Raw genomic sequence first — 20929 nt, forward strand, 5'->3', positions numbered from 1 at the left:
TCCTGATTCTAAAGATAGGATTTTAGAATCAGAAGTCTGGAAATGATACATGAAAATTGTCAAGTTACCTTCTTAATTTTAATTTAAAGACCACAGTTTTTGGTTAAGTCTCATAAAAACATCTTTAGACTTAGGATAAATCAGAAGATGTATACTGTATGTAGCGATGAAAACATAATTTTTTAAACTAGGAAAATAAAGAGTACAGAATGGCTCCCAGCAGTAAATTTTCTAGTTTCTTAGGAGGAAAAGAAAGATCAGTTGGTGGTGCAGGTTTTCTTGATCTTCAAAGTGAGTGTGTAAAGACTTCTATTTCCTGGCTGGAAACATCAAAGACAAAGGAGGAATCTTAAAAGAAATAAAAACTCTAGAATAAAATTAAAAATAAGAATTGAAAAGTAGAGAGAAGTACAATTCCACTGTTAGAATTAAAATTTTTTGACTCACTTCTTGATATACAGACCTTCTTTCCTTCCTGGTAAAAGCCTATTTGAAAAGTGTTACGAAGTTTCTCCCTCTTGTATCTTGTCAGAATATACAAAAATTCAGATTACAGTTGACCCTTGAATAACACCTGTTCACACTGTGTGTGTCCACTTATATGTGGACTTTCTCCTGCCTGTTCACCTCTGAGATGGTAAGACCAATCCCTCCTGTTCCTCCTCCTCAGCCTACTCAACATGAAGACCATGAGGATGAAGACCTTTTTGCTCACTCACTTCCACTTTAGAAATTGTAATTAGGCCAGTCACGGTGGCCCACGCCTGTAATCCCAGCACTTTAGGAGGCCAAGGCAGGTGGATCACTTGAGGTTGGGAGTTCGACACCAGCCTGATCAACATAGAGAAACCCCATCTCTACTAAAAATACAAAAAAATTAGCTGGGCCTGGTGACGTGTGCCTGTAATCCCAGCTACTTGGGAGGCTGAGACAGGAGAATCGCTTAAACCTGGGAGGCGGAGGTTGCAGTGAGCCAAGATCGTGCCAATGCACTCCAGACTGGGCAATAAGAACGGAAATTCTGTCTCAAAAAGGTAGTAAATGTATTTTCTATTCCTTATGATTTTCTTAATAACATCTTCTTTTATCTAGCTGACTTTATTATAAGAATACAGTATATAATACATAACTGTATACAGTATGCATTAATTGAAAGTTTATGTTATCCATAAAGCTTCTGGTCAACAGCAGGCTATTAGTAGCTAAGTTTTTGGGAAGTCAAAACTTATACTTGGATTGCTGACTGTACAGGGTATCGGTGTCCTTAACCCCTGTGTTGTTCAAGGGTCAATTGTATATTCTTTTTAAAGAAGTTAAAATAAGACTGTTAATACTTTTATTGCACTGTTCATGACAGCATGTCAAGTATGATAAAGCATTTTTTTTCTTAGTTTAATTTATTGAATTGTAATTAAGGTATTTTTCACTGTAGTCCTAAGAATGACCATGCTAAAACTGTCTTGACAAGTCCTTTGCTAATGCCTTAATAAACAACATTCAACACTGTTAAAGTTGGGAACAAGTTTGAGGTAAAATTTGTGTCCATGAGAGTGGACGAATCATGGTAAAGAAAATAATGTGGAGAAAATATATAAGAAAAAAGTCAACAACTGAAGAGTAGATTTTTGAAAGTTCAGTGGGTTTTGCTTTGTTCTAGGGCCAATTTTAGCTTCCTTATTAAGCATTATTTTGTCAATTTTCCTATTAGAAAAACATAATTGAGATTTTGTTTTGGGATTTCTAGAAGAAATGAGTTGGTGTTTTTATGGTGTTTCCTTCGAAACCCAAAACTGAACATGGAACTGAACATGGTCCTTTACAAGATTTCCCTCTCTTTTACATACATTCTAGAGTAGATAAAAATGAAATGAATCTTAGAGCTCAGGAAATATCGCGATTTCAAATGGACAATCCTTGACTTTTTTGTCACATTGTTTCTTCGTGGAAAAACTCATTCTCTCTCCCATTCCAATTTTCCAGTAGAGATTTGATTGAGTCTTGAGCATGCGTTGACCATCTTCATATCATGTATTATGACTGAAGTATTAAGGATCTAAAAGGTACAGAGATAGATTGCACTTAGCTTAGGATTGTTACATGCACTCTCATTCAATGTTTGGACAACTTGATGGAATACCCTGGAAAGTTTGCCATTATCTTTCCCTGTGCATTGGCTCCATAGACTTAATGCACCTATCTTATGGATGGAATGACGATACTTTGTGCTTGGAGACCTGAAATTGTTGCTTTGTAGCCCTTTGCTCTTATTTAGCCCCAGAACCAGAACTTCTAGAATGAAACTCTAGTAAAGAATCAGTCAATGTTTTTTGTTTGTTTGTTTTTTCCCCACTCCAAAGAGAATGTGTTTTACTTTTTTGTGGCTCTGAAAGATATGCCAACTCAAACTCCTAGGTCTCTCAGGATTGATGGGTACCCTTTTATGTTGCATCAAAATTGAAGATATACTAGTGTAAGGTCTAGCTACCTTTCTAGAATTACCATCCAAAAAAGCTGTTAATTTAAACCCTACTTCTTAAGCCAAGCAGTGCATCTAAAGTGAGCTTTTTTTAATTTTAAATTTTTTTTTTTTTTTGAGCCAGGGTCTCGCCCTGTTACCAGGCTGGAGTGCAGTGTTGTGATCTCGGCTCACTGCAACCTCCACCTACCAGGTTGAAGCGACTCTCCTTCCTCAGCCTCCTGAGTAGCTAGGACTACAGGCATGCGCCACCACACCCAGCTAATTTTTGTATTTTTAGTAGAGACGGGGTTTCACCATGTTGGTCAGGATGGTCTTGATCTCTTGACCTCATGATCCGCCCGCCTTGGCCTCCCAAAGTGGTGGGAGTGCAAGCATGAGCCACCATGCCCAGCCTAAAGTGAGCTCTTGACTGAACCTATTACTGATTGGACTTTCTTGGAAGCACTGAATCCTGACTGTATCCAGCATTTCCTAAACCAATGAGAATTCTCCTTAAAGCATTTGTCCTCAGTTTCAAAGGAAATCAGTTCTGAGATACTCTTTTTCTCTTATAGGATACTATTATGGTCTTCAGACATTCACTGTATGAAGGGTTTAGGTTGTAGAACAAATCAAATATACTTGAAATGCATTTTGCTTTCTGAGGGACTATGGTGTGCTTTTCTTCAAGACTTGACAAAATTTACTTTTTTAAAAATTAACTTCCTCCTGTGTTTACACCAGCTTTTATACTTTGTTGGAAATACAGCCACTTCCAGAGAGAATTTGGCATTGCACTTATCAAACAGGATAACTTAATTATTGGCACAGATTATTTTTTATTTGAGCAGTGTGCACTGCCATGAGAGAGCATCCACATTTTCATTCTGGGCATGGAAACAATGTAAAACAGGTTTGGCATGAAGCATGTATGTATGTGTGTATGTGCATCAAACTCTACCCTATGTGAAAGGCTGCCAATTTTTAAAATCCTTGGGAACTAGAGTAATTAATCTCTTCTGTTGCCTATAACAATCGGAAGACCTGGGAATATTTCATCCATTTGTACCATTTGGAAACCATTATTGGCCCATAGAGATTGATACTTCAAGAGGAGTGGTCTCTTGCCAGCTTACTTCGTAAGTTTTGCCTATCTAGTTTCAATATTTCCCACCCTTCTCTACTTTATGTTGTATCTTTTCCTTGGGTTAAAGGTTTTTGTCAGCTTCTTCTGCTTTGTGCTTATATTTTTCTTCCTATTTACAAAAGCTCATCTTCCCTCGCCAATGAAACAAGTTATGGAGTGTGTACATCTACACCTAGCTGGCTCTGCTGTTGTACAGAGGTGCAAACAGGGCTGTGATTTTAGACATAGTAGTGTCAATAGACATAGTAGTGAGGATGACACAGCATCCCACGGGACAAGATTGCAGTGATGTTATCCTCACTTCAATTCAACTGCATGACTAACAAGAACATTACAGAGAAAAAAAGAAAGAAAAAAGATTAAAGATTAATGCTTCCAGTCAGTCATGTCCCATGGGGAGACATCTTAGAACCCATTCTACCCATTGTGACCACACATATATAGCAGTTTTTGAGAAGGAATCAAAACTCAAGAATAAATGACATGTTCTGATATGTTAGGCAAATGTCAGACAATGACACAGAGCCCTAAGTTAATATTTGGGAAACTAAACTTTTGAAGTACTTTTATACAAAGCATATGCTAATATATGCAGACTAATGCAAATTATCCATAACCTTGAGGTTTCTCACAGGTTGACAGTGGGGTCCTTGGTGTCACAGAAGGTGACCATTGCTGGTATAGATTCTGACAATTACTTGGATTATATCATGACTTCATATTTAATGTGAATTTTATCTACTTAGTCTGAGCAGTTGCTCATTTGCCAACAGTTTTGCTTGTGTATATAAGTAAACAAACATATTTATCACCCCTAGGATCAGTAAACGCTAATAAAGTTGCTGCTGCTTGCACTTTAGATTTGTTTTAATGACAGACACATCCTAAATTAACTAAGAATGGTTTGCTTGCTTTAGAGCTTAGCAAGAAAGGTAAAGATATTAGCATGATTCGTTGTCACCAATCAGGTTGAAATGATGGTACATGTTATTCTTTGTCATCAGCATACTCTATCTTAGACTGTATTTTTAAGGGGGAGTGTGTGTGTGTGTGTGTGCATTCATGCATGTGTGCATGTCTGTGCATATGCGCACACATTTTCTTTCATGGGAGTTCTGATGTCACTTTTTGACAAAATTCATTGTGAACTTTATCTCAGACTGCAGTGAGGAAAACCAACAGACTGAACAAATGAACAAATACACAGACTCTTCTCCCCTACTTTATGTAATATTTTATATGCGTTTTATTTAAAGCCAGCACTCTACATGCAGCCATCATGAATTATCTTGTGTGATGTGCAATATTTGTTAAGGTGTGCTTTGCAAATGCTCTCTTATTCAACTAGTTCCCTGAATGGGCTGAAACATGGTCATTTTTGTTCTATACACAGACAGTATATTAAAATAAGGATTAAAACCATGTTTAATCAATTGTTAGACTTTTATCCCTTCATGTTACTGTTCCATCTTTCTTTCTGCCCTTTGCTGATCATCTAAAAATAAATTTGTATTCTCTGACCAATGAACTCACTCCATTCATTTATTAACTCTTTTACAGTCTTGTTTCTTTCTGAAGTGGTAGAAACACTTAATAGCCTACTCTAGTGAACTTTCTTCAGACCATGTCTTCTTTAACACCTGTCACACTCAACAATGTTGACTACCCTCTCTTAGGTGGTCTTTGCTGCGTCGTTTGCTGTCAACCATTAACACCATACCTGTATCCAGAAGCGCTGTCGGAAAGCCAGGTCTGCTGATATTGATTCTTTTGGTCTTTTTCTGTCTCCACTTTGGCCTCTCTTTTCCATTTCTCCATTGCCTGCATGTTTTCTTCTTTTTCTGTTTGTCAATTCCATTTGATACAGCTATTCTATGAAGAAAATAAAAGATATTGTTTAAAACTAAAACCAGTTATATCTACTTCTATCTTTTGGAAAAGATATAATGCGTGAAGTACAGGATAGGTAGTGCTTACAATTTATTTTTGTTTTAAGAAAATGCCCAGGCTGGGCTCAGTGGCTCACGCCTGTAATCCCAGCACTTTGGGAAGCCAAGGCAGGTGGATCATCTGAGGTCAGGAATTCGAGACCAGCCTGGCCAACACGGTGAAACCCTGTCGCTACAAAAAAATACAAAAGTGAGCTGGGCATGGTGATGGATACCTGTAATCCCAGCTATTTGGGAGGCTGAGAGAGGAGAATCGCTTGAACCCAGGAGGCAGAGGTTGCAGTGAGCCGAGATCGAGCCATTGCACTCCAGCCTAGGCAACAAGAGTGAAACTCTGCCTCAAAAAAAAAAAAAAAAAGAAAAAAGAAAGAAAATGCCCTAAGGAGACGGGTAGGTCAGCTCAGCTGAACAAGTGTAGTCCCCTGGAGTCTACTCTATGTCTAGGCTAAGTTTTCTTAGGTGTTTCGCATCTATTATCTTTTTAAATCCTTACCACAGCCTGTTTGTTATTTATCTTCATTTTAAACATAAAATTACTTTATTTTTTCATTCCATTGAGAAAGTCTTCTAGGTGAATTTGAAAGCCAGGAGGAGTTGAACATGTTTGGCATTCCTCAAAAGAGAAAAGAAATGAGGGTTCAGAATGGTGAAATTTCTGAAACTAGGATGATGACTTCAAAAGATGATTTATGATACTTAGGTTAGGATGTTGCTACATCAGGTTAAATGCTGTCATTGGTTTTTGTTTTCCTTACAAAGAAGAAATAAATTTGTGGGTGGGGGTAGGGAGTTACTCAAACATACCTAATTTCTAATACTCTAAGCTACATATTTAAATACACTATTATTTGTATTTCTCAGTTTCCCATTGTTTTTAATGTGCTTTTCTTAACACATTAATGATAGCTTAAAATTAATATTTTCTTCATGCTAAAACAAACAAAATGATGAGAGAAAATTTAGGTATCCTTGTAAGCTAGTTCTCCTCTTTTCTTTCAATGTAATAAGCTTCTTTGTGACCCTGGCATTAAAATGTTTTGAAATGGTTATTGGTTCACGGACATTAGGCTCTGTAATACCATTTTCCCTATCATCTGGATGTATTGCTATTTGTTTGAAGGCACATTCCACCATTATTGGTGCCCTCACTAGCAGTGAGGGATGAGCCTGAGTGAACATTGGGAATAAAGCCAGTTGTTTCCTCTGCTGCATTACAAGGAAAGTTATTCAGGAACATGCCCACTGTGGCAAATTTACCAAGTGGAATATTTGTTGCCTTGACATTTTGGACTATCTACTGGCATGAAAAGTCAACAGAGAGGTATTTCTACACTTGCTTAGGAATTATTTGATTAAATAGCATTGGAGGATAGAAATAACTGTTTTGTTTTATTTTTTACTTAAGGTGTAATCCTCTTAGTCAACCGAAGCTTACAGTGGCAGTGGTATTCATTATTTTACTCAGATTTTTATTCTTTTTCATTAATGTAGAGCTTTGTACCCAAATGCATTCTATACATGTCTCTCATTACTTCTCTGGCAGCAAGATAGCACTTCACTCCACCCCCAAACTAAACAGAATTTAATGATGGGCACTCCTTGCCTCATGAGGGGGAAAAACACAGTTTCCTGGTCGTGGTCTCTGAACTGCAAAGACACACTTGAGGTTTATCCACTGAGTAAATAACTAGGGTGAAAAAGTCTTTGCCTCTGCAGCATGAACTAATATGACCCAGCCAAATTATGACCCACCTGTTGATACTCTTAACAAGTGTGAGTAGGTAATATCATGTTTATGGTGAGTCCATGTCTCTGAGTAATTTAGGGCTGTGCTGCTCAATAGGGTAGCCCAAGCCATATGGTTCTGTAAGTTTACATTTAAATTGATGAAAAATTTAGTTTTTCAGTAGCGATAACTACTTTTTTAGTGCTCAGTAGCCACATATGACCCAGTTTAGACCAAAGAGACTTGAAATGTTTTCTGGGGCTCATAGTTGAAGAGATTTTCCTTTCCTGCTAGACATGGACAACAAGCTGCAGCTCTTGGAAGCTGTAGGCTGCCATCTTGGGGACATGGAAAGCTGCCTTAGGAAGAAGGAAACACTAAGGGTAGCAAAGAGACCAGAAGGAAGAAATTTTGTTTTTGGTGATAGCATAGAGCTGCCACATCAACACTTGCCCAAGACCTGTTCTATTTCTAGACCTATTATGTTCAATACTGTGGCCACTAGCCTCCTGTGGAAACTGAGCAAGTAAAATTCGGCTAGTTCAAAGTGAGATGCATTGTAAGTGCACAATACACATTGGATTTTGAAGACTTAGTATATAATAATAATGTAGATTGTCTCATTAATCCTTTTTTGTATTGATTGCATGTTTAAAGGTTAATATTTTGGATATATTATGATAAGTAAAGTATGTGAAATTCATTGCACTTATTTTTTAAGTATGGCTACTAAAAAAATTGAAATCACGTGTGTGGCTCACATTATATTTCTATTGGACAGTGTGACTTCAGACATTTCAGTTACCTTAACAATAAATTCCTTTCATTGCTCAAGTCAGTTTGAATCAAATTTTCTGCTGCTTGCAACATAAAGATTTCTAATCAATGCTTGGCATAACATTTCTATTTAAACTTTATTTCTGCCCATTTATGCTTGCAACCATGACACACATACAAATGTATATGTGTGTGCACTGGCACTCACACATGCGATAAAAAGTGCTTTCCTGTGTTCCTAAATATCCATCTGAGATGCTAGCTCATTACATAAAACTTTCTGACTCTCAGCTTTTCACATCTGAAACGTAAAAAAAAGATTTGTAACTTAGATATTTCCATGACTATATTCATTCTACTGATTATTTTCTGTGTTTGATTCACTTTTATTTATACACTGAATTGTCATTAAATTGTCTTCTTATTTCAGTTTTGGGGTACTTTTCTTCTCTCTTTGATTTTTTTTGATGCCACTAAAATTACAACCATTTACTTAGCTAGTAAGACTGCATGTAAGTGGCAGTGAAGAATGAAAAAGAAAACTATCCAGTCAAAAGAAGTAATTTTAAAAATGTTGGAGTGTGAGATTTTATACTATAGGAAAGTAAGTCACTACCAGATATGTTATTTAAAGATTTTCTTTAAACTTTTAAGCCTATATATTTAATTTCCTAGTTTTTTTTTTTTTCTAAAAAAAAGGCAAAGATAAAATTACAAGCTTTAAGATAGGAATAAAAGTCATTTGGTCATCTGTTTATGACTAGAAAACCTTTATGTTCTATGAAATGCATATAGATTAAGGGAAACTATATATAGCCAACCAAAATAAAACAGCCATGCTGTGTGTTTTATCAAATTACTTCTTAAAATAGGAAAACACTCAATAATAAGCTGCATATAGCTCCCTAATTACTACAGTTTTACTTTATATGATGTTTAAGGGAATTTTTGAGATATCTCCTTACCATTTTTTCTATGAAAGTGATAATTTAAATATAATTTTATAGCATATGTTTTTATTTTTATATTTCTTCCAGTTCTTTAGGACATTAATCATTATTGAAATTTTGTCCTTCCCCCATCTCATTTCTTTGCTTTTTACCTCCCTGGCTTTCTTTGTATTGAAAAAGCTAGGTTCCTTCTAGGAGAGAAGTGTCCTATGTATATTCTGATTTCTTTTTTGTGGAGAAATGAGTGACTGTTGAGTAAAGTCATGATGGAAGTGCCATTTGAAAAAAACACAAGTTCATTATATTTCGTTATTCATCCTAATTTTCAAGTAGAATTGCAGTAAGCTAATCATTGATTAGGGTGCTGTTAGAGTTGGCAGTTAGGAAGGTAATTCTGTGAGTGAGGTGGAAATTATTTGGCTAAATAATGTGGTTTTCCACCTTTCACTATTATACCGCTTTTGTGAAATATTTTTAATTTTGATTATAGAAAGTTTTAAAATTAAATAGTTGTGTATAAACTTATTGAATGTAATCCCTATATATATATTAAGTTCTCATCGACTGCATGGCACTATGAAAGACTATGATTTGGAAAACCTTTCATTTTCCTTTGGGGCAAGTACCAATGACTGTGTTAAACAAAGTAATTCCTAAATATGGCCTTAAACTCTCTTCCCCAAAACAAACACATTCCTCAAAGTAACCCTGAGTGAGCAGAAAAGCAGTAGTTTACTAGGTATCTCTAAACCATATGCCCATATCCTAAACGTAGGGGTTAAGATGAAGATTTTATGTGATTAGATTGGACAAATATGGGAAATCCACTCATTCATTTATTCATTCATTCAACCAACATTTATCAAATACTTATCATAGTGAATCTATATCACCAAGAAGAAAGTTTGGGAACGTTTCTGCTGAGGAAAGTAGGGGTTATATTAGCAATGTTTTATTTTATGTATTTGATACCTTGAATGGATCATTTTTACCATACTTTCCTCTACAAGATAAAATAATTTACTGTAGTAATCAGTAATAACCGGTATTTTCTCTTTTCTTCTTGAGATGTAATTTACATATAGTAATACTCACCATTTTAAAGTGTATAATTCAGTGTTTTTTTACATTAAAAAGGTTATGAAACTGTTACCACTATTGAATTCCAGAACTTGCATCATTCTCCAAAATAAACCTTAGACCCATTCATATTCATTCCTCATTTCTCTTCCCCCCTGTCTTCTGGCAGACTACTTTCTGTCTCTCTAAATTTGCCTATCCTGGACATTTCATATAAATACAGTCCTACATTATGTGGCCTCTGTGTCTGTTTTCTTTAACTTAATGTTTTCAAGATTCATCTATGTTGTAGCATGTATCAGTACTTCATTCCTTTTTATGAGTGAATTAAAAATATTCCATAGTATGGATATAGTACATTTTGTATATCCATTTATCAATTGTTGGACATTTGGATTGTTTCAACTTTTTTTTTTTTTTTTTTTTTGCTCTTATGAATAGTTCTGTTATAAACATTTGTGTACAAGTTTTTGTATGAACATATGTTTTCAGTTATCCTGCATATACACCTAGGAATAGAATTGCTGGGTCACATAGTAATTTTATGTTTAATTTTACAAGGAACCACTAAACAGCTTTTCACAGTAGGTGCATCAGCAGCAGCGACGTATGCAAGTTCCAATTTGCCCGCATGGTTGCCAACACTTGTAGTTTTTGCTTGTTTGATTATAGCCACCCTAGTAGGTGTGATGTGTTTGATTTATTCTTTAGTTTAGAAAGAGTGAACAACTTTTTAATAAATCATAAATTTAAAATTATATAAATTATTTTGATTTAATAAAATTTGCATTTTTATCAAAATTATTAAAATCTTGCAGCTTACAGTAGTTCACTCAAATATTGAGCACTATTTAAAAATGCAAGAATTCAAATAGAGTAACATAATTGAAATAGCTCAAAGTCTACTTGTCTGTAAATTCAGAGGCTATTATTGTTCATTAAGAGTCTTCTGATTACAAGAGAAGATATGTAGTACCACATAGACAAAAACTATGCCTGAAACAAGTTTGAATAATTACAAAGAATTGTGAACTTACTCTCAAAACAAATGCATGTATCTGAGTCCTCATGTCCCTTGGGCCAGCTGTATAATTGGGACTTCTGTGAATTAACTTGTAAAATAAAAGGATAATTTAAAAAAAATCTAAGTTGAAGCTTAGTATCTGCTACAGTTGTTTAGAAATTAGGTCAGCAAAATATTTTGGTAAGAGGAATAGTCTATAACTGACATTTTGAATTACAGCACATGTTGACAATAAAAAGCAGACCAAATTTTTTTAGTTTTATTATTGTTTCTAAATTTTCTATATACAACAAATTCCCTTATTATGTACACCTAGGGCAGAACACTTCCACTGCCACACTCTTGGTTTTAAAGCCTTTTTGTTTCCAAAGGGAATGCTTTATGTATTACATGGAAAACATCTTGGTAAAGCAGAAAACTTTTCTGATTTGGTTTCCAATCAGGAAATAACTCTTCAACCAAAGATCCTAGCCCACCCTTTCATCAGAGTGCAGTAGAAGTGACTGGTGCAAAATAAATAAATGCTAGAAAGAAGACAGTAAAGCTTACATAGATAACCTCAGGGTCAACCCAAACTATTCCAGAGTAATAAGAAAAACATTATCTAAAACATATTCTAGAGAGCAAATTGCATTAGTTATCTACTGCTGCATAACAAATTACTCTCAAACTTAGTTGCTGAAAATAATAAATATTTATTATCTCATACAGTTTTTGGCATTCATGAGTTTAAGAACACCTTAGGTGAGAGATTCTGGCTCAGAACCTCTCTTATGAGATTGCCGTTAACCTGTTGATGCAGCAGTCATGTGAATGTTTGGTTGGAGCTGGAGGCTCTATTTCAAGGCTTACTGATGTGGTTGTTTATAGGAGGCTTCAGTTCTTCTCCTTATGGTCCTCTAAGTGAGGCTGCTCACCACTTGGCAACTGGCTTCTTCCCAATAAGTGAAGAGGTAAAGGGAGGTGGATGGGAGAGGGCACACAACCAATATGGCAGCTACAATGTCTCTTACAACTTTTTCTCACAGGTAACATACCATGACTTCTTGCAATATTCTATTGGTCACCCAGACCAATGCTGGTGCATTGTGGGAGGAAACTACATAGAGGTGTGAATTACAGAGGGTGGGGATAATTAGGGGTCATCTTAGAGGACAACTAACCCACCAACCTCCCTCTACTTACATTAATTTATAAATTTAGATGTTTATTATTAGAACACACTGCTTCTTCTAGAATGTTGCTTATTCTTGTCTTCTCTATAGTTTTCTGAGTAAAGTATTAAAGTCTTTAGGAATTGCTTTACTTGGGCTGGATGGGCTCTGCTTAGTGATTAGAGTCACCTACTCACCGTATCTTTTAACTGAAGTTGGGTGTCCAACAATTAACCTTCCAATTTTTATTTCAAGGGTAGTTTTAAAAAGAGGCAGGTGTTTTAGCTCTAAGAATACCTGTATGTTTTTAGAACAGAGAAAGTGGGAACAATGGAGAATGAAGTCACATATATTTTTTAATCTTGTTTTTACAGTAGGTGGTTTTAAGTCCTACCATATGATGGCTGGTATTTTCGAGAATTGTTTCTTTCTATCAGTAGAAAATGTGTCCCTTCCAACGTTCCATTACTTGAATGTCTGTGTTAACCTAGAAAGACAGTAGGAGACTAAAACTTGTAATATTTTCATTACTTGAAAGATTAAATTATGTTTTATTGTATGAGTTCTTTAGTATTTTCCCTGGATAGGCCTTTTCTTCCCATCACACAAACAATAGAGACAACTTTATGAAATATGAGAGAATTGTATTTTAATACTCTGAGGTAGGATCAAGCTACTTTCATCAGTTGATACAATTTTCCCCTAAAGAAATTCTAGCTGTGAGGGCCAATGGACTTGGGTTACATATAAGAATTATATATACATTATCATTTGCTTTTGAAAGTAATTATTCTAAGGCTAAGTTAGGTTTGAATTTGATTCTGAACAATGATGATGCATTTGAACTGTTAGGGTAATTAGGACTATATCCCATTCACCCACACACTCTTTTTCATGTGTAGTCCTTTAAACTGCACAGCCTTTGAAGGATGGTTAGTTTGTATCTGGGGTTTGTGTTTTGTTTTTTTTTTTCATCTACTTTTTGATTGCTATGTCATTGAAAAGTGCTTAATCACAGAGAGGATTACAAAATAAAATCACCATTAGCATAAATCATTTATACTCATTTTAATGCTTCCTTCTTGTTTGTGGAGTTGGGTATTTGGAAGAGTGGAGAATATATAACCTTCTTTTTTAGTGTATTTTGTGAAACAGTTTTTCTCTCCTATTTTGTTTTAACATTTAAAATAAGAGACAAAGTCATCAGAGTCAAATTATGTATTTACATTTTTATTAGAAAAATAATTGGTTAGATGAACTGGCTTATTAATGTAACATAATTTATTTTGGAAAATTTTTTAAAAGCTAAAATCTGTATTTAATATATGGATTGAAGAAACTGGAAATATATGAAGATATACTTTGTATTATACTTTTCATCCTTAGAAATGCACTGTTATATTGTTTAGGGAGACTTCATTCAGTTCCTAAGTAATTTGTTTTTAATTCTGGAATCCTTAGAAATACCATTTCAGTGGTATAACTAATGGGCAAACTGGAACTAACGGAAAGGAATTTTATTTCTTTATTCCTCCCACCAACCCCAATTCCTTGCACAGATTTACATGGCATGGCTCATGTAACACAATAGAAAGATTCCTGAAAATTGTATCCAACTTTTCTATCCCTATTTTAAATGCACTGAAGAATAGACTACTTAAATTAATCTAAAGGTAATTTTTCTTGTATAACTGTGGCTTGAAAACATTTAGTTTATATATCAACTGTGTTTAATCATTCCAAGTTGTTTTTATTCAGAATAAATCCCTAAAGCAAGCTTTGCTGAGTGTCAACCCTTTGCTCTCTCTTACGACTGATTACTATGGTTGCTTCTTTGCTTGTAACTTTAATTTACGGAAAACAGGCTCTTGGTGTCCAGAAGGCAGAATGGGCTTGGTGAAACAGATGCTAGACCTAAATGGCTTTTAGCATTTCTGCCTCTGCCTCCTGGTTGCTTTTGTTGTATTTCTATGGGTGCCTTGAATAATGTGAGTCACTCAGGTGGGCAGAGTTCATAGAGATTAATTTCTGGCGTGTGAAGAGGAACAGAAAGCAGTAGAGGGGTAGATGTTCTTAGGATGATCCACATCTGTTCTTCTCTTGTCCCTGTGCTTCCTGGTCACCCACCTCCAGTTTCAGTTTTATTCCCATTTTACGATGAACATTAAACAGTGTAATTAAGTTATGCAGGACCCATATTGTGTTTTAAATAACACTTCCAAAAGTATATCATGGGTCAGTTCATAATTGTGAACAAGATTCTCTTGTTTAACATAGCAAAGTGAAGCTGAATCTCAAAATATTGTTCCCTCTTAACCCAATGGTATGAACAATATAAAATTAAAAATCAGCACTGACCATTCACCATTCATCCATCCACCCATCCATCCATCTAGTCCAAGGAGGAAAAAACTCCCGATCGTCAATGAGAAGAAAATACTACTATCTAGCAAAGGAAGCAGATCTAAGCCCCAGAGACTGCATGTCTGGCTTTGGTAATAGGCAATGTGCATCTAGTTGCTCTCTGCATAAACCAAATAGGGGAGAAATAAACAAAATAAAATCCTGAAAACACCCTACTCTCATCCCAACTGTGGAGAAGCTAATGAGGCAGGCTGAGAGAAGAAACAGGGACATTTCCCTAAGGGTGGCAGTCTTCTTGCTCACAAGAGAGTAATATTTTTTCCACCTTGATGTCTCCATGATGGCATGAAATTAGGGGATAAAAAACAGAATGACCAAAAACAGTCAAAGCTAATTAACTTTTGCAATAAACAAGGTTGTAATTGATCAGTAAACAAAAGAGGAGAATGGGACAAAGGAGTTGGAATGAGTAGGGAAGTGTATACTAGAATCCCTGGGAGTTGACTTCAACCTGCCTATTGCCTTAATGCCTTATCTCTGTTATATCTGAGGAAGAGAGCAGCTAATTGGGTTAAATAAATCTCCTGAGGTACTCCTGATGGAAGTAGAGGCTCAGAGGCCCTGAGGTGAGTAAGGGAAACTCTCTGAAGCCATAGGCACTGAATTGATTCCCAATAAAGTGAAGCAGACCTTGGCATAAAATAATTACAAAACCAGAGAGGAGATGGCAAAACTCCAAAACACTAACCAAGACCCTGCCAAAGCCCAAACACTCCCCCTTGACAAATGACCCCTGGTATAAGCAGAACTCAAATTGTAGTTTATACGGGAAGCTAAATCTCAGCTAAGGTAAGAAGGGAATCAAAAAGAATTGACCCGTATTCTAATCATGCACATAGAGGTTCTAGATTAACCTGCCCAAGTTTATCATGGTTGACATGGAGACTAATAACAGGCAAATTAAGAAAATAAAATGTAGGGAATCAATGAAGAACTAAATCTGTAGAAACAAGGACACATTATGTTTCAGGGGAGAAAAATGTGGGTATAAATGAGTAACACTAAAACACACCTTTATTAAGCCATTAAGTTTCAAGTATTAATGGCAAAAACCGCAATTACTTTTGCACCAAATTAATATAAAGATGAAATTTTTCAGGATTTGGTGAGAAAAATAAACAAGTCACTTACACCACAAGCTCAAAAGCAGAAACAGATTATTTAATGATAAAACAGGGGATTACATGGGGAAATTGTGGTAAAGGGTAGAATAATCATTGATATCATTTAAGTATAGATGGAAATTAAACGATCATGAGATTGAGGATTACAGGAAGTAAATATTGTAAATTTTGACAACATACAAAATTATTATTAAAAATGTTGAGAGAATCTTGATAATGGAAGATTGAATTGCTCAACTCTCTTTTTAGACATTGAACTAGAAGGCTGTGTAGAATAGAATGACTAAAAACAGACTTTAAAACTTACAAATCACCAAGGGGAAAACATGTATGTAACACATAAAGAGGCAATCCATGTAGAAGCTTAAAAACAAAAGAAACATTACATTTAGAATGTAAAACATAAGAAGTTGATTGCATTTGTTATATCAATGAATATGAATGTTTAGTACTTGTTAAGATAATGATATATATGTAATATAAATGAGAACAATACTCATATATTGAGTTACTACATGAAAAAAGAAATCCCATCTATATACTATATACAAGAAATAATTCTAAAGATGTTACTCATTGAATTAAAAGTGAACAATAAGGTAAACAGTTAAATGCTAACAAAAATAAAACTAAAATTCATAATACTACTTTCAGACTATTAAATCCAAGCCAAGAAAAGGGCTAAGTGAGATGAAAAAACTCAGTGTATGATAAAAGTTGCAATTCACAATGTGACTATAATTGTATAAATCTTTATGGTCTAAATAACATATCTAAAATGAAGTAAAATAAAAAGTTTTCAGCTGCAGGAAATGCAAAGAGAATTTAACAAAATATGGTGGTGGTAAGAGATGTTAATTCATCATGTCAGCCATTAAAAGATTACGTAGAAAAAAAATTAGTTGCAATTTAAAGGGTCTGAATAAAATCGATAAAAAGTTAAAGCAAATGTAGATGTAGAAATAGATAACTTGATAGCCAGTTGGTTGGATGGATTGATGAAAGAATGAATTATGGCTATTTCTAGAGAATCACTTTATTGCAATACCTTAGGCCATACACGGAAATGAAACATATATTAGACCTCAAAGAAAACTTTTATATAGCCCAAAAAGGTAAAATAATATGAACTACCTCACTGGCCAATATATAATAAAACTAGAGCTTAATAGAAGGACAACAAAATCCAATCACTTAAAAAAAACTTTCAAATAATTCTTGAGTTACAGAAGAAATCAAAAGAAAAATTATAAAAGATGAAGAAAACAACAAATATTTGACAAAATGCAAGACCATTTTGCTATTACAATTGACCTAGAAAATAATATTCACGGCAATTTTGAAAAAGAAAAGTAATGAGGGATGAACTAACTTTATCAGATTTTAAAATACATCAGGAAGTTGCAATAATTAAAATAAATTGGTACTGGAGAAGAGCAAAATAAAGGGGCCACCCATAGATTTGCATATTTGTAACATTAATTTGTGATAATAGTATTATTTTTTAAATAACTGAGAAAAGAGAACCTTCAGTAAATAATGTGGAATAGCTGGCTAATTGTTGCAGAAAAGGATAAACCTGTATCCCTATCTTAATTTCTACCTTAAAATAAATTCCAGATGGAAGAAAGTATTAAATATATTTTTAAAAGCCTGAAACAATTGTTCTTCAAAAGTTTTGCTAAATGTACTTAGAATCTTGGCAGAGGGAAGTGCTATAAAAAGGATTTAAGACTCAAAATTTATAAAGAAAAGATCAATAAACTTCACAACATTAAACATATTAGAAAACAAACTTTGAGGAGAAAACAGTATGAGAAAGGACAAAAGACTAATGATAGACTGGAGAAAATTATTTGCATAAATATCAACATTAATTTTTCTTAATTTTTAAATCTCATAGACAAAAACAACCAACCTCCTAGAAAAATATGAACAGTTCATTTGTAAACAAAGAAAAATCACTGGGTATTTAAACATAAATTGTTGGTAAGTCTCATACAGAAATAGAAGAAAAACACATAAATATAAATCATAGGGAAAATCTAATATTTATACCCACATTGTTTGGCAAATAATTAAACCTGGAAATTTCCAGAGTGGATATATTGATAAAGGACTCTCAATTCTGAGGATATAAAATATGGTGAACTATCTTGTGAAGTTTCAGAATATTTATCAGAAATTTTGGTCATACTGTTTGACCAAAAATGTTTTCACTGAGAGGAATTTACCCTCAGCAAATACTTGGAGAAGTTCACCAACATGTTTGTACAATGATGTTCATTCCAGCTTTATTTATACACCCTCTCCTTCTGACACACAATTGAAAACAATGGTAGGATTCGTTAATATGAGACTGTTTAAATAACACAATATGATGAAGAATTATGAAAATCTTTTAAAATTAACTGTTTTTACTGAAAGGGAAATAGCTGTAGTATATACAATTATATTAATACTTTTAAATAATCTTTTTTTTTTTTTTTTTTTTTTGAGACAGAGTCTCGCTGTCGCAGAGGCTGGAGTGCAGTGGTGCCATCTCAGCTCACTGCAAGCTCTGCCTCCCGGGTCACGCCATTCTCCTGCCTCAGCCTCCCGCGTAGCTGGGAATACAGGTGCCCGCCACCTCACCTGGCTAATTTTTTGCATTTTTAGTAGAGATGGTGTTTCACCGTGTTAGCTAGGATGGTCTCGATCTCCTGACCTCGTGATCCTCCCGCCTCGCCTCCCAAAGTGCTGAGATTACAGGCGTGAGCCACCGTGCCCGGCTCTTTTAAATAATCTTAAAGGTCTTCCAACCTTGCCCGAGCCGGGCAGGGTGGCTCACACCTGTAATCTCAGCACTTTGGGAGGCCGAGGCGGGCGGATCACGAGGTCAGGAGATAAAGCTCTCCTCAGCAAATGTAAAAGAACAGAAATTATAACAAACTGTCTCTCAGACCACAGTGCAATCAAACTAGAACTCAGGATTAAGAAACTCACTCAAAGCCGCTCAACTACATGGAAACTGAACAACCTGCTCCTGAATCACTACTGGGTACATAACGAAATGAAGGCAGAAATAAAGATGTTCTTTGAAACCAATGAGAACACAGACACAACATACCAGAATCTCTGGGACACATTCAAAGCAGTGTGTAGAGGGAAATTTATAGCACTAAATGCCCACAAGAGAAAGCAGGAAAGATCCAAAATTAACACCCTAACATCACAATTAAAAGAACTAGAAAAGCAAGAGCAAACACATTCAAAAGCTAGCAGAAGGCAAGAAATAACTAAAATCAGAGCAGAACTGAAGGAAATAGAGACACAAAAAACCCTTCAAAAAATTAATGAATCCAGTTGCTGGTTTTTTGAAAGGATCAACAAAATTGATAGACCGCTAGCAAGACTAATAAAAAAAGAGAGAAGAATCAAATAGACACAATAAAAAATGATAAAGGGGATATCACCACCGATCCCACAGAAATACAAACTACCATCAGAGAATACTACAAGCACCTCTACGCAAATAAACTAGAAAATCTAGAAGAAATGGATAAATTCCTCGACACATACACCCTCCCAAGACTAAAGCAGGAAGAAGTTGAATCTCTGAATAGACCAATAACAGGCTCTGAAATTGTGGCAATAATCAATAACTTACCAACCAAAAAGAGTCCAGGACCAGATGGATTCACAGCCGAATTCTACCAGAGGTACAAGGAGGAGCTGGTACCATTCCTTCTGAAACTATTCCAATCAATAGAAAAAGAGGGAATCCTCCCTAACTCATTTTATGAGGCCAGCATCATTCTGATACCAAAGCCGGGCAGAGACACAACCAAAAAAGAGAATTTTAGACCAATATCCTTGATGAACATTGATGCAAAAATCCTCAATAAAATACTGGCAAAGCGAATCCAGCAGCACATGAAAAAGCTTATCCACCATGATCAAGTGGGCTTCATCCCTGGGATGCAAGGCTGGTTCAATATACGCAAATCAATAAATGTAATCCAGCATATAAACAGAACCAAAGACAAAAGCCACGTGATTATCTCAATAGATGCAGAAAAGGCCTTTGACAAAATTCAACAACCCTTCATGCTAAAAACTCTCAATAAATTAGGTATTGATGGGACATATCTCAAAATAATAAGAGCTATCTATGACAAACCCACAGCCAATATCATACTGAATGGGCAAAAACTGGAAGCATTCCCTTTGAAAACTGGCACAAGACAGGGATGCCCTCTCTCACCACTCCTATTCAACATAGTGTTGGAAGTTCTGGCCAGGGCAATTAGGCAGGAGAAGGAAATAAAGGGTATTCAATTAGGAAAAGAGGAAGTCAAATTGTCCCTGTTTGCAGATGACATGATTGTATATCTAGAAAACCCCATTGTCTCAGCCCAAAATCTCCTTAAGCTGATAAGCAACTTCAGCAAAGTCTCAGGATACAAAATCAATGTACCAAAATCACAAGCATTCTTATACACCAAAAACAGACAAACAGCCAAATCATGAGTGAACTCCCATTCACAATTGCTTCAAAGAGAATAACATACCTAGGAATCCAACTTACAAGGGATGTGAAGGACCTCTTCAAGGAGAACTACCAACCACTGCTCAATGAAATAAAAGAGGATACAAACAAATGGAAGAACATTCCATGCTCATGGATAGGAAGAATCAATATCGTGAAAATGGCCATACTGCCCAAGGTAATTTATAGATTCAATGCCATCCCCATCAAGCTACCAATGACTTTCTTCACAGAATTGGAAAAAACTACTTTAAAGTTCATATGGAACCAAAAAAGAGCCCGCATTGCCAAGTCAATCCTAAGCCAAAAGAACAAAGCTGGAGGCATCATGCTACCTGACTTCAAACTATACTACAAGGCTACAGTAACCAAAACAGCATGGTACTGGTACCAAAACAGACATATAGATCAGTGGAACAGAACAGAGCCCTCAGAAATAATGCCGCATATCTACAACTATCTGATCTTTGACAAACCTGAGAAAAACGAGCAATGGGGAAAGGATTCCCTTTTTAATAAATGGTGCTGGGAAAACTGGCTAGCCATATGTAGAAAGCTGAAACTGGATCCCTTCTTTACACCTTT

The 20929-nt window shown here is 35.3% G+C and overlaps 1 protein-coding gene across 3 annotated transcripts in view, besides 1 other annotated feature; it reads left to right on the forward strand.

The window, feature by feature from the left end:
* MACROD2 (mono-ADP ribosylhydrolase 2) overlaps positions 1–20929 on the forward strand; it is a 2057682-nt gene that overhangs the window by 1120103 nt on the left and 916650 nt on the right. The window lies entirely within an intron of this gene.
* Positions 2073–2242: an enhancer, noted in NCBI's record as "experimental_59649 CRE fragment used in MPRA reporter constructs". NCBI's record gives its function as "activates a minimal promoter by MPRAs in K562 erythroleukemia cells, with activity observed for both the introgressed and non-introgressed 20:15098422 variant alleles {active_cell/tissue: K562}" and the evidence as "EXISTENCE:reporter gene assay evidence [ECO:0000049][PMID:34662402]".

This window comes from Homo sapiens, chromosome 20 (genome assembly GCF_000001405.40).
Source record: "Homo sapiens chromosome 20, GRCh38.p14 Primary Assembly".
NCBI classification, from domain to species: domain Eukaryota; kingdom Metazoa; phylum Chordata; class Mammalia; order Primates; family Hominidae; genus Homo; species Homo sapiens.